The 15,269-nt window shown below is 36.2% G+C and overlaps 1 protein-coding gene across 15 annotated transcripts in view; it reads right to left on the bottom strand.

Moving 5' to 3' along the window:
• The window catches only part of RASAL2 (RAS protein activator like 2), a 384,747-nt gene that overhangs the window by 106,491 nt on the left and 262,987 nt on the right, over positions 1-15,269 (bottom strand). Inside the window, exons 1-2 of one of the 15 annotated variants that reach the window (XM_047434838.1) lie at positions 810-988; positions 38-157 (exon numbers count right to left, since the gene is read on the bottom strand). The exons of 13 other annotated variants lie outside the window; for them this stretch is intronic. In XM_047434838.1, coding sequence (XP_047290794.1) covers positions 38-157; positions 810-897 — 208 coding nt within the window. In that variant the 5' untranslated portion in view covers positions 898-988. Of the gene's footprint in view, positions 1-37; positions 989-15,269 lie in introns of those variants that run through there. One more of the 15 variants, XM_047434839.1, reaches the window with a different exon arrangement.

Below are 15,269 nucleotides of genomic sequence, written 5' to 3'. Positions count from 1 at the left end.
AATAAAGGGTTAAAAGAACAAGCAAGCCCTACCGTACCCAGAAATGACAGAAGGCTCTTCTCTTCTTCGGTGCTACTATCCAACCACTCCGCCACATCACCGGGGGAAAGGAGACTCATTCTCCAGCCAGAAAACTTTTCCATACAGAGCACAATTACTGAATGATGAAGTGAGAAAAAAAGGATACAGAGACTAAATTCTTGGGGGTCCAACACTTAAATTGCTGGCTAGGCAGTAATGATGAAAGAGAAAATGTGATCCTCCCTCCACTCTGAATTCTGTCTCTGTGACATCAATCTAATACAACCAGGGGGAGGGGGAAAGAAATAGGGTTAAAAGAGGGTGGTATAAGAGAAGAGAAGGGAGATTTGTCCTTCTGTCTCTTGGTGTTATGCTTTAGTCTGAAAGAAAAAGCCAGGATAACACTGAATAATGAAGTGTGTTTAATGACAGGAAAAATCATACGAAAATAAAGAATAAAGACACTCAAAGAAAAAGAAACAGGTTCCTACACTGGAAGCAGCTTAGATAACCAGACAGCACAATAGCTAATCAGTTAAGTAAAAAATATCAAACAAAAACAAAGACAAAAGAACAAATTCAGCATTTTGTTTTGTTTTGAGGAGAAAGGTTTTCAAATTTCCTTTCAGTCCTCCGCAAGAACTGCAGCCCCCTTCCCCTTCCTGCTTTAGCTATTTCAACAGCCCCCTTTACGAAGATTTCCTGCAAGAAAAGGCAGGTTGATAAATCTGTGAATAGGAAGCTCTCATCCCTCCTTTCTTCTCCTCCTCCTCCATTCCTCCCCCCACCTCGCATGGCGACTGCACTGATCGACAATAATGGAATCTGTAACTGACTGCCAACAGCAACATTAAGGATATTACAAGTCCACTTCATAAGAATTCGAGCTGGTGGTCGGAACTTGGGGGCAATTCTGGGCTTCTAGTCAATAGCTGTCTTTCTTTGCGAGGAAAGAAAGGAAGTGTGTGTGTGTGTGTGTGTGTATTTGTGTGTGTGTGTGTGTGTGTGTGTGTGTGGGAAAGAAGGCTGAAATCTGAAAGAAGAGAAGTAAGCTTGTTGGGCTGAAGGTACAGAGATCAACATAGAGAATGACTGTTCTGCAACATCATCATGAAGGTGTCAGATCCAGATGAATTTTTTACATCGTTTACATTACATATTTTCATGGTTTGACTTAAGATTATTTCACAGGTTTATACCTTATTACCAGGCAGAGAAAAATCAAGCAGAAGAGGTATGTTCACAGAACCATAAATTATTAATATCCTTGTTCTCTGGAGATTGATTAGGCTTGTTACTAGGATAAAACAATATTCTTAATAAAAGATAGAGCTTTTTTTCCCCTGTATTAGCAAAACACTAGCTCTTTTCCTAAGAATCTGGTCTTTGCTTCTATTCTAGTAGTCTGCTTTCAGTGAGAGATTCTCATTGATTAAGAGTTACTACCTCCTTAACATATCCTGAATCTATACCCTTTTCTCCATGCTTACTTCAGTCTTATTTATTTTTAATCTAGACTCTATTTCATTATGACTGTAAGTTCCCTGAGGACATGGACCTTGTTTTATATTAATCTTTGTAATCCTAGTGGCTAGAGCAGTGCTTGGCACTTAGATGGAGCTCATCAAATATTAACTGAAGTTTTAGATGGTAGCTCTAGAAGTTTTAACAGGTTCAACACTGGCAGGAGATGCCAGGCTGAATATTTTAGGACCTCATTTAAAAATTAACCATTTTGACGATTACTTAAAAGTAGTTAAAGTGACAGTACCACACGATTGAGAAAATAAAAATTGTCGAAAAAGGTATTATGAATTCATATGTTTAAATGAGTTTCTATTACTCAAAATAACTACAAAAAATTGAGAAGTAGTACAAAAATAGGTGTAAAAGACATTTTATTAAAATCCACAGGCTATGCATGCTTAATATCTAAGCATGGATTGCTAATTCCTTTGTAATAACTTCATGACACACCAGTATCCCTGGAGCTCTGGGATTGGACATCAGTAGCCTACAGGATTACACTCAAACTTCCTGGTGTGACACGGCTTCTGCTTTTTTCTTGTCAGGGACCCCCAGACTCCTCTCGACTCAGCCATTCTGTATTATTTACCTCACTTCCACGCCTTTACATGTTCCACTGAAAGTGGCAGAAAAAAGTCATTTGTTTTGTTCATTTGTATAGAACAACTAGACAACTGTTTTGTTTTGTTCAACTGCCTAAAACATTATCTGACACACAGTAGAAGCTCAAAGATTTTTGCCGAATGACTTTGGTACCTCTTGTGTGGTATCACTCTACCATATACATCTGACAATATTGAACTGTTCCCTTGAGACTCAGCTCAAATGTCACCTCTCCAGGTCTTCCCTGACATCTTAAAGTAGAACTAATGGCTCTCACGTCCGTACTTTCATTGTTATTACTATTATGTTATTAAAATTACTTGTTTACATAATGTTTTTCTCAACAATATCTCATACCTTTAGAAAACAAAATTTCTGTTCTACTAAGTTTTTAAAAAATTTTAATGCCTAGCATATAGTAGATTTATAACTGTTTACTAGATTATTATTGAAAGTGAGATTATAATTTCATGTATTGCAGATATCTTAATACTAAAGATATCCTGATTTAAGGATTCATACCATTGGTCTTCTTATTTAACAACCAAAATAACTTGGTTAAGGAAAAATTAAATCTCTTATTTATTTTAACAAAGAAAACACTGTATAGTTAGAAAGGTCATCAAAATAATCCAGCCCTATGAATTTGCCTTCTGTATACTGACAGTTAGAAAATGAGGCACCCAGACCAGGTGCTGTGGCTCATGCCTGTAATCCCAGCATTTCGGAGGCTGAGGCAGGCAGATCACTTGAGGTCAGGAGTTCAAGACGAGCCTGGCCAACATGGTGAAACCCTGTTTCTAATAAAAATACAAAAAAACTAGCCAGGCGTGGTGGTGCACGCCTGTAATCCCAGCTACTCGGGAGACTGAGGCAGGAGAATTGCTTGAACCCGGGAGGCAGAGGTTGCAGTAAGCCGAGATCGCGCCACTGCACTCCAGCCTGGGTGCAGAGACCCCATATCTGCACCCTAGTAAGAGTGCAGACCCCACTGCACTCTTTGTATGGGGTACAAGCGAGACCCCATATCAAAAAAAGAAAAAAGAAAATGAGGCACCCAAGAAAAAGTTCTAGATTGAAATTTTGTCATAATATGATGTATAAGGCATTACACTGTTTTCCTCTTTTTATAATCCGAACAAAGCATGAACTAGTCCTTCCTTAAAAATAAAACATTGAAACTTACCTGAAAATGTAAAACTCTATAGTGGGCTGTACATTTTGCTAAAATGTGAGTCAAGAGCATCAAAATACTGTAAATAGGGCTGTCAGAAATAATGCTTGAAGGTTAGGCATGGTGGTTCATGCCTATAATCCCACCATTTTGGGAGGCTGAGGAACCCAGGAGTTTGATAACACCATGGGCAACATAGTGAGACCCCACTTCTACGAAAAATGCAAAAATTAGCCGGATGTGGTGACATGTGCCTGTAGTCTCAGCTACTTGGGAGGCTGAGGCAGGGGGATCGCTTGAGCCCAGGAGTTTGAGGCTGCAGTGAGCTATGACTGTGCCACTGTGCTGCAGTCTAGGTGACGGAGTGAGACCCTGTTTCTAAGGAGAAAAAAAAAAAAGAAAGAAAGAATGTTTGACTATAATTTTCTACATAAAAAACAAAATCCCATACATTTTGGCAGTTTACCATGTCGTCTTATGTGTAGTAAGTACTTACTAATTAACTTTATTCATTATTTACTTAAAAATATAGAAAGTGTCTGGAGAATGCTTGGTGACTTACAGAGTTCCTATTTGAGGGCATATGCATTTCCTGTGTGTATGTGCATGTCTGTATATATGCATATACACATATGCATGTGCTACTTACTGGGCTGACATTTACTGTTTACTAGGCACTTCACTAAGTGCTTTATACACATTAGCTCAGTTAAAATTCTTAAACAACAACCACGTGAGATAAGTATTCTATTCATTTTCAGATGAGAAACCGAAAATCATAGAACTTAACTTTTCCAAATCAACACAGCCAGTCCAGGAAATGAAACGTAAACTTCTGAAGGCTTGGTCATGATTCTCTATTATACTAATCCATATTCCACAGAGACCAATTTAGGCAGGGGTCAGCAAATGCACTTTTTCTGTGGAGGGCCAGATAGTAAATATTTTAAGTTTTGTGGGTCATATAATCTGCTGCAACTACTTTAACTCCACTGTTATAGCACAAAAACAACCATAGAAAATACGTAGACTAATGGGCATGGCTGTGTTCCAATACAAATTTTTTTACAAAAAAAGGCATGGGCCATACTTAAATGATCCCTGATTTATGTCAACACTGTCCATTCAGGCAACATATTTTCAGTACTTAATGTATGTCCGGATATCTACCAAGTCCTTATCATTGAAAAGTAAAGTAACTATTATCTGCCTGGGTCAAATAACGTTTTATTTCCATTTTAATAACTGAATAATTGTCTTATTATTTTGCTTTCAAGACAGAAATTACTGCTTTCCTTCTACTCCTTTAGTTTCATGGTCCCATGAGATACTTAATTTTTATTTTAATAAAGGGCATAAAATATGTAGCCCTTTCTTCAATTACTTAGTATTCCTGATTTTCATTATAGCTGCTTGTACTCATACTTTCAGATTCATTCATTCAACAATATCAGTGCTAATATGTGCCAAGCATATTTTAGACCCCCACATACAGTTGTGAACAAAAGCAACAAAATCTCTGTCCTCAGGGAGCTTATATTTTATGGGGAAGAGAAATAGTAAGATAAAAAAGTAAAATATATATTGTGTTAGATGGTAAATAATACCAAGGAGAAGAGTAAAGCAAAAAGGGGAAATAGGTAATCTGGGGGAGGTTTACAATTTCAGAGAGGGTAGCCAGGGAAAGCCTTGCTGAGAGGTTGACATTTGACTAAACTGTTAAAGGTGGTAAGTTTTAGGAAGAAGGAACTACCAATAAAAAGACTAGAGGCAAGAACAGCCAGGAGGCACTGCAGCTAGACTGGAATGAGAGGGAAAAAGTAAAAGGAGATCAGACTGTGGAGTAATAGGAAGCCAGATCATGTAATGTTAGGGGTCTTTGACTTACCTTTAATTAGACAGGAAGACTCCGAGGCAAGAGTGATGGGCAAGGTTTTACTTTTTTAAAATAAGAGCTTTATTGAAATATAATTCACATACTATAAAATTCATCCTTTTAAAGTGATTTTTAATACATTCACATTTTTGTAGCCATTACTACTATTTAATTACAGAACATTTTCATGGCCTGTAAAAGAAACTCTGTGTCCATTAGCAGTCACTCTGTATACTCCCCAGCCCCTAATCCCCTAACAAATACTCATCTAAGTTTTGACTCTATGCATTTGCCTATTCTGGACATTTTATACAACTGAAATCATATAATATGTGGTCTTTTATGCCTGGTTTCTTTTACTTAGGTTCATCCATGTTTTAGCGAGTACTTCATTCCTTTTTATGGCCGAAAATATTCCACTAATGGACATTTGGGTTGTTTCTACTTTTTAATATTATGAAGAATGCTGCCATGAACAATTTGTGTACAAGTTTTTGTGTGGAAGCCTTATACTTCAAAAGGATGTCCAAATAAGATGTTTTCTATAATCTGTGTTTTTTTTTGGCGGGGGGGGGTGGGAGGTACCAAGTAATTTTAAAATGTGACAGCGGATGAGCGTTATCTTCTAATTTTACAATCACCACATTTTCTCCCTAATTCCTCTGGGATTTCCATCCTTCTTGAAGAAACCAAAACCACTAACTCAGTCTCTTTCCTCCTGCTTTAGTATTCTTGCACATAGGAAAAGATTAATGCTAGATACTCAAGAATGAACAAAGGCAAGTAATACATGATCTTTTCCTAAACTGATAACTAAAGTTGGTGTAGATTTTTTAGTAACTTTATATAAATAGTATAAGCAACTCCTGAATATCTTTTTTCCAGATTTATCAACAGTTTACATTTTGCCAACTTTGCTGAATCACTCTATGTATATTTTTATTATATATATGCATTTTTCCTGACTCATTTGAGGAAGCTGGAGACATTATGCCCTTTACCAGCAACTGTTTCAGTGTGCATTTTCTAAAACAAAGGACATTCTCTTACTAAACCAAGAACAAAAATTAAAATCAGGAAATTTAACATTGATGTTGGTTGACATTTTAAGGATAAAATTAGGCATGCTACTCCATGAATAATCTACTATACAAATTATATTTCAATATCATAAAAAGGCATTTATTTGAAAAACAAAGTGTCTTCAAGCAATGGTGACTGAGAAATCATGGGTACTGATTGCAAGTATAATTCAAAGTAATAATCTATATAATATTAAAATATGTCTCAAATATTTGGAGGATTACTATTGAACTTACGGACATTCAATACACTATTGTGATAAAGGACTGAAAGCAAGAATAACTAGTTTTCTAAAAGGCAACTAGGTTGGCATGGTGGCTCATGCCTATAATCCCAGCACTGTGGGAGGCTGAGGTGGGTGGATCACCTGAGGTCAGGAGATCGAGACCAGCCTGGCCAACATGGTGAAAACCCATCTCTGCTAAAAACACAAAAAATTACCTGGGCATAGTGGTGCGTGCCTGTAATCCCAGCTACTTGGGAGGCTGAGGCAGGAGAATCACTTGATGCCGGGAGGCAGAGGTTGCAGTGAGCCTAGATCATGTCACTGCACTCCAGCCTGAGCGACAGTGAGACTCCATCAAAATAACATAACATAACATAACATAACATAACATAACATAACATAACATAACATAACATAACAGGCAACTAGAGGATAGATACCATGATTGCATCTCTATCTTGATACTCCTTTGTACATGTACAATACTTTTCCTCAAAGAAGCTTAAAGTAAATATCAAACTATAACTTTCCTTGTATTTTAGTGAGGAGATATAGTATTATATGATCATATAAGGTATTATAAGATTAGAGCTGATGAAACTAATGAAACTAAGATGAATTTTCATTTATCTAGATTTAGGAAGCAATACTTAGACATGCAAAGCCACAATGTAACAAGGATGTTAGCATCAGAAGTATTCCCATCATATGAATATTTAATATATACATAGAAGTTGCTTTGATTTCAGTGAAAAAGGCTATCAAGATGTAAAGTAATAAAAAAAAAAGCAAGGTAGTCAACAGTATTATAAAACATGTGCTCAACAGAAATATTCCATTCAAAGCTAAAGGCAGGTTCTGTTTAAAGACGTTAATGATTATCTAGAATTAAAGATAATCAGATTCTTTAAATACTAAAGCTATTCTTCTAAGAAAAAAAAAGTAAATACAGTGACAGCTGTTGTTAATGAACAGATAACTCCTTCTCAAAAAGACCCAGAAAGTAGCTAATGCATAACTATTCTTGAAATATTTTTTCTTTAATATAAAGTTATATTTTACATTTTACTCATAGTATATACAATTCTTGGAGCCTATCACTTTTAGCACCTAACAAAATATCAAGCAAATAGTAGCTACCTAATATTTATTGAGTAGATGCATAGATGGATATATAAACCCAATATACCTATGATTAGCACTGCTCTGTAAGTAAACTGAAAATCATTAGGGTAACATCTCCTGCAATTTGTCACTAGGCCTAGCAATAATTTGAATACTTGTAGCAACAATAATAATAGATCAAATGTATTCTGCATTTACAATGTACTAGGTAGTACGTGAGGTGCTATTAACCTCTCATTTTCTCCTCATATCAACCCTACAAGGTTGTAGTAACATTTTTCCCATTTTATAGTTAAGTAAACTAAGGTTCAGAGAAAACAAAGGTTTAGAGAAGTGATGAAGTCATATAGCCAGTATTGGAGGTTGGGTGAAGACTTAGATATTCTTATTCCAGAGCCGACACTCAGAACTACATTCCATATTGGAATTTCTTCCATAACATTTTTAGATATTTTGGGTGAGGTATGAAGGGTGAAGGTGAACAGTTATTTAATGAGAAGTAAAACTCTTTTCCTTGATCAGTGATCTGAGACACTACAACAGAGTTAAGTAAATTGTGTAGGAATCCAGAGAGTTAGTGGCCAAATAAAAAGGCCAGACCCCATAGTTTCTTCTTTTTTTTTTTTTTTGAGATGGAGTCTCGCTCTGTCACCCAGGCTGGAGTGCAGTGGCGCGATCTCGGCTCACTGCAAGCTCCACCTCCCAGGTTCACACCATTCTCCTGCCTCAGCCTCCCGAGTAGCTGGGACTACAGGTGCCTGCCACCTGGCCCCGCTAATTTTTTGTATTTTTAGTAGAGATGGGGTTTCACCGTGTTAGCCAGGATGGTCTCAATCTCCTGACCTCGTGATCCGCCCGCCTCAGCCTCCCAAAGTGCTGGGATTACAGGCGTGAGCCACCGCACCCGGCCTTTTTATAGCATATAGATGTTTTACTCTTTTCCACCAATAAATAATATTTATAGTCTGATTGTTTTTCAAAAGAATCTCTTAACAAAAGGATTTCACTGAACATTAGTCAATGCTGGGCACATAGTAAGTGCTTAATATTTGTTAAATGAGCAAAATTTTTCCATATCTGAACAGGGTATTTGACATGGTTATTTGCTCCTATGAACATTTAATGAGGCTGTTTAATGCTTCGACAAATTTACCATTGCTAATTTTACAATGAAAACTATGTTAATTTAAATCTAACTTTGGACGTGTGGTACCGGATAAAAGTTAATAGCCTTTTTTTGCACAGCAAAGGAAACAATCAACAAAATGAAAAGGAGGCCTACGCATTAGGAGAAAATATCTGCAAACCATGTATCTGATAAGGGGTTAATATCAAAAATATATAACGATGCAATGCCAAAAAATTGAATAACCTAATTAAAAAATGGGCAAAGAACCTGAATAAACATTTCTCAAAAGACATAAAAATGGCCAACAGGTATATGAAAAGATGCTCAACATCACTAATCATCAGGAAAATGAAAATCAAAACCACAATAAGATATCACCTCACCCCTTTTAGGATGGCTATTATCAAAAAAACAAGAGATAACAAGTGTTAGTAAGAGTGGGAGGAAAAGGGAACCCTTGTACACTGTTGGTGGAAATGCAGATTTGTGCAGCCCGTGTGGAAAACAGTATGGAGGTTTCTTAAGGAATTAAAAATAGAACTAGTAATATGACCCTGCAATCCCGCCTCTTCTGAGTATCTACTCAAAGGAAATGAAATCACAATCTTATTAAAAAAATCTGCATTCCCATATTCATTGCAACATTATTCACAATACAAGTTATGGAAGCAACTGAAGTGCCTGTTGACGAATAAAGAAACTATGATGTGGGTGTGTGTGTATGTAATGAAATATTCATCCTTGAAAAAGAGAGAGATCCTGCCATTTGCAAAACATTAATGAACTTAGAGGACATTATGCTAAGTGAAATACGCCAGACACACAGAGAAAAACACTGCATGATCTCACTTATATGTGGAATTAAAAAAAAAACATAATGAAAAACCAAAAAATGCAACAACAAATACACAGATAGCAACAAAGAGCAGAATACTGGTTACCTGGGGCAGAGAAAATGGGAAGAATTAGGTCAAAGGGTATAAAGTTTGCAGCTATGTAGGCTAAATCTAGAGATCTAGTGTACAACATGAGGACTATGGTTAATAATATTTTATACTGGAAATTTCCAAGGGAGTAGATTTTAGATACTCTTACTATGAAGGAAAAGAGAAGGGAAGAGAGGGAGGGAGGGAGGGAGAGAAGGAAGGAGGGAGGGAGAGAAGTATATGAGATAACAGATATGTTAATTTGCTGGACTGTAGTAATCATTTCACTATGTATATCAAAACATCATGTTATAGACCTTAAGTCATACACAGTAATCTCTCGGTATCCATGGGGGATTGGTTCCAGGACCTCCTACAGACATCAAAATCCATGGATGCTTAAATCCCTGATAAAAGAGGGCACAGTATTTGTATATAACCTATGCATAACCTTCCATGTACTTTAAATCATCTCTAGATTACTTGTAATACCTAATACAATGTAAATCCTATGTAAATAGTTATTACACTATATTACTTAGGGCAGGGGTCCCCAACCCCCAGGCCACGGAGCAGTACTGGTTTATGGCCTGGTAGGAAGTAGGCCGCACAGCAGGAGGTGAGTGGCAGATGAACAAGCATTACCGCCAGAGCGCCACCTCCTGTTAGATCAGTGGTGGCATCAGATTCTCACAGAAGCACATACCCTATTGTAAACCGTACATGCAAGGGATCTAGGTTGCGTGTTCCTTATGAGAATCTAATGCCTGATGATCTGTCACTGTCTCCCATCACCCCCAGATGAGACCATCTAGTTGCAGGGAAACGAGCTCAGGCTCCCACTGATTCTACATTATGGTGAGTTGTATAATTATTTCATTATATATTACAATGTAATAATAATAGAAATAAAATGCACAGTAAGTGTAATGTGCTTGAATCATGCCAAAACCAACCCCCACCCCCGACTCCCTCCTGTCCATGGAAAAATCTTCCATGAAACCAGACCCTGGTGCCAAAAAGGCTGGGGAGCACTAGTTTAGGGAATAGTGATGAGAACAAAAGTCTGTACATGTTCAGTACAGATGCAATTTTTTTAAGAATATTTTTGATCCATGGTTGGTTGAATCCACACATATGCAGAACCCAGAGATATGAAGGGCCAACTGTTCAATTAAAAAAAGCTAACGGGTACTAATAGCTATGGAGAATGTATACATTATTACAGAAATGTTTTGGCAACTCAAAAAAAAGTCAAGGGTTTTCATACCTTTCTTTTTTTACATTAAAAACCACAATTATAAAAAATGTTCAATACATTTATCACCTGGATTGTTACAACACTGTATCTAGATGTATCCAGAAAACACTTCTGATTGAAAAAAAAATACCACAATCAACTCATTAATTTCCTTCTGGTTAGTATTTGAATCTGTTGTAAATTCGGCTGTAGTTGGACAAAACAGTTGCATCAACAGATATGTAAAGCATGCCCTATTTGATCTTAAATGAGTTTAAATGGCAGAACTATTTTACAGAACTACATTATTATCTACCTCAGAAATTCATTAACATTACAATAAAATACATCACATTTGTGGAATATAGAGACAAATTAGAAAAAGATTTGTTCTCAAGAAGCTCATGGTCTATACTTCTTAAATATTATATCAATAGAAAATTTAACTTCATATCTCTAGTATATTTATTCATAAATGACATACATGGGCTCCAAATCTATAAAGCAAATATTAGTGAAGTACACTTTTCCTTATTTCAGATAAAAACCAAAGGGATAAAACTCTATTATTTTCTTCCCACCCATACCTACAAACCAAGGAACACCAAACATTGCCAGCAACCCACTGGAAGCGAGGTGAAAAGGCATGCAACAGATTCGTTCTCACAGCCCTCAGAAGGAAACAACCCCGTTGACACCTTCTAACTTCCAGAACTGTGAAACAATACATTTCTGTTGTCTAAGCCACCCAGTCAGTGGTTCTTTGTTATAGCAGCCCTGGTAAAATAAAACCCTGAACAAGGTGCTGCAGTGGAGCAGCCTGTAACCTTGCTGACTGGAAGAACAAGAATGCAAAGGAAAGATATAGTTGATTACTATGAGCTAAGTAGACACCAAAAAAGAGAACCAGGTCTATATCGTGGATGCTGGATCTCCAACACCAAAGAACTATTCAGTAGGGAAGCTTCCTATGGGCCCCTCTGAAGAGTTTGCACCCTTCTACCTGTAACAGAACCAGCACTGGAACACACGCAGAAGGCATTCAAATTCACGGCCAATGTTAGCTAGAGAAGCAACAATAACCAACAGGGGCTTGTAATTTCATGTCTGGCTAAGTAAAAACTGTGGCATCAGACCAGAACACCTTTTCTCCAATCCTGTCTCCCTACTCCAATGCCAGAAGGGTTAGAAGTTGAAGAGGGTAGAGCAGGGGTGGAGGAGTGAAAGAACTGGCTGGCTATCTCCTACTCCATGGTGGGGTTGGGGGTGGAGTTAAATAGGATATGAGATAAAATTTTAATCAAGTAGATTAAATTAACTTTAATTACTGAAAGTAAAGTAAACAACGATTGGCTCCCCATCATAGAGATCAGCTTTCTAGCAGTGATAGCACAATTGTGGGCAAGAACTGGGGTAAATAAAACCCCCACTCTTCACCCCTTACACCCAGAGGCAGACTCATGTGTTGTGGGACCTGAAGCTTATATAATCTGTGAGTCCATATGTTAAAAAAATCACAAAATTGCAAACACAATTTTTTTTCTTCTTCTATCATTTATTAAGGTCTCATACGCTAAAAAGATCTTAAGGTTTGGGGTCAACAGAGGCCGCTGTAAGACAGGAGAAATTAATTCAACAACAGTAACATCAAAGGTTTATCAAAGATCTACAGTCATTTATAACAAAATCAGAGTTCACCATCATCATCTGACTACAGCATAGAATAAATGGTAGTAAGTTGCTGCCTTGCTTTCCCTAATTGCATCTTCATTTTACAGCAGTAGTGTAATTAGCTGGCATGAAGAGAGACCCCAAGTTTTTCTGCACATAGTTAATAAATAATAAAAATTTAAGTATCTTGGGAAATTCCAAAATGATGTTTTGTAAAATGAAAGTAGATAAGCAGAGTAAAAAGATGAGCACAAGGTCGGTATGCTGGATGACAAAACACAAAAAATTCTAAGGCTTTAAGAATACTGCAAAGAACAAATTTGTATTTTCAATGACCTGCTATATTTAAGTTTCCTGGCTTTACTTTTGTGACTTGGGAGAAATGAATAAATATTTTAATACAACATCATTATGACACTGTATTAAGAGATTAAAAGGTAAAAACAAAATGATTATATCAGTACATGCTGAAAAGGCAACTGACAAAATCCTGTATTTGGCCTTTTATTAATGTATTTACTTTTCCAAATGAATGGTAGTATCAAGTCCCTCTGTACTCCCAGCCAAAAACAAAAAACAAAAAACGTGTTGACATTTCAGTTGGAATTACAACGAATGTATAGATTATTTGGGAGACAATTTACTTTCATACACATTTTTAAATTTTAGTCATTTTTAACTTTACATAAAGAGCATGTTTTATATATTCTTTTGAACTTTTTCCATTTAAATATTATATTACTCATATCTCTCCATATTTTTGCTGTAGTTTATTTGACTACTGTATAATTTTTACATTGTTTGAATATAACAACAAATTTAGATTAAGAGTTGCGGTTGGGGTTGGTATTCAGGTTCAGTCTCTTATTGAAGTATATTGTATTTCCTTTGTTAAGAGTTTTGCTATTGGTGTCAGTGCTGCTGTGAACATCCTTGCAAATGTCTTCTTTTATCCTTTGTAGGAATTCCTCTTTGGTATATACATAGGAATAGAATCTCTGGGCTTAGGGTATATAAATGTTCAACTTCAGCAATGCCAAACTTTTTCCCACCAGCAGGATATATGAAATCCTGAGTCATCTACATTCTGCTCAATATTAATACTTGGTATTGTCAGAATTTTTAGTGTTTCTCATGGAATGAAGATAAGATGGTTGATTTTGCATATCCTGACTACCAGTAATACCGAACATTTTTCATAAGTCTATGGGTATATATGTTATGCTTTTGTGAAAGTCTTCTTTATATCTCTTGCCCACTTTTCTATTGAGTTGGTCATGCTCAGCCTATTAATAGATAGCAGTTCTTTGTATGTCCTTGATAGTAATCCTGTGAAAAATTGTGGGTCTTGTGAATATCATTTCTCAGTTTCTAACTGGTCTTTTTACCTTCTTTACTTAAAGTCTATAGATGGACAGAAGTTTATAATTTTAATATAATGGCCAACCCCACCAGTCTTTTATAGTCAATACTTCTTGTTTGTTTCCTTTCCTTTTTTTTTTTTTTTTTTTTTTTTTTTTTAGGAGACAGAGTCTCACTCTGTCACGGAGGCTGGAGAACAGTGGCGCCTTCTCGGCTTACTGCAACCTCCGCCTCCCAGGTTCAAGCAATTCTTGTGCCTTGGTCTCCTGAGTAGCTGGAATTACAGGCACATGCCACCACGCCTGGCTAATTTTCTTATTTTTAGTAGAGACTGGGTTTTGCCACATTGGCCAGGCTGGTCTTGAACTCCTGACCTCCAGTGATCCGCCTTCCTTAGCTTCCCAAAGTGCTGGGATTACAGGTGTGAGGCACCACACCTGGCCTTGTTTTTTGTTTAAAAAATATACTTCAATAAGAGACTGAACTTGAATACCAACCCCAACCACAACTCTTAATCTAAATTTGTTGTTATATTCAAACAATGTAAAAATTATACAGTAGTCAAATAAACTATAGCAAAAATATGGAGAGATATGAGTAATATAATATTTACATGGAAAAAGTTCAAAAGAATATATAAAACATGCTCTTTATATAAAGTTAAAAATGACTAAAATTTAAAAATGTGTATGAAAGTAAATTATCTCCCAAATAATCTATACATTCATTGTAATTCCAACTGAAATGTCAACACATGTTTTTTGTTTTTTGTTTTTGGCTGAGAGTACAGAGGGACTTGATACTACCATTCATTTGGAAAAGTAAGTACATGAATAAAAGGCCAAATACCTTTTGAAAGGAAAAACTAATTAGAATTCCCTATATCAGTAAGAGAAAAACATTAAAATCTATAATCATTAAAATACTGTGACATTGATATAGAAATAGATCAGTAGAGTAGAAAAAGACATATAGACATTTAGCTGATGATAAAGGGTAGCTTTTACATCACTGTGCAAAGAACTGACCATTCGAAAAAAAAAAAAGCACTGAAACAACTAGCTATATGGCTGAAAAAAAATCTCATTTCACATAACCAAAAATAAATTCCGGATAAAGACATAAACTGAAGTTGAAAAAGGCTTTCTAAGCATGACACAAAAGCGAGAAATTACAATGGAAAAGAGAGACAGATTGAACAATAAAAAATTAAAAGCTTCAAATAGCAAAAGACAGGCTGAACAAATTTGCAAGGCTATTTAACAGCATCTATCAAAATATGAAATGCAAATTATCTTTTGATTCT

Source organism: Homo sapiens, chromosome 1, assembly GCF_000001405.40.
Source record: "Homo sapiens chromosome 1, GRCh38.p14 Primary Assembly".
NCBI lineage: Eukaryota > Metazoa > Chordata > Mammalia > Primates > Hominidae > Homo > Homo sapiens.
Note: the sequence above shows the minus strand (reverse complement) of the source record. Positions and strands in the feature narration are given on the sequence as shown.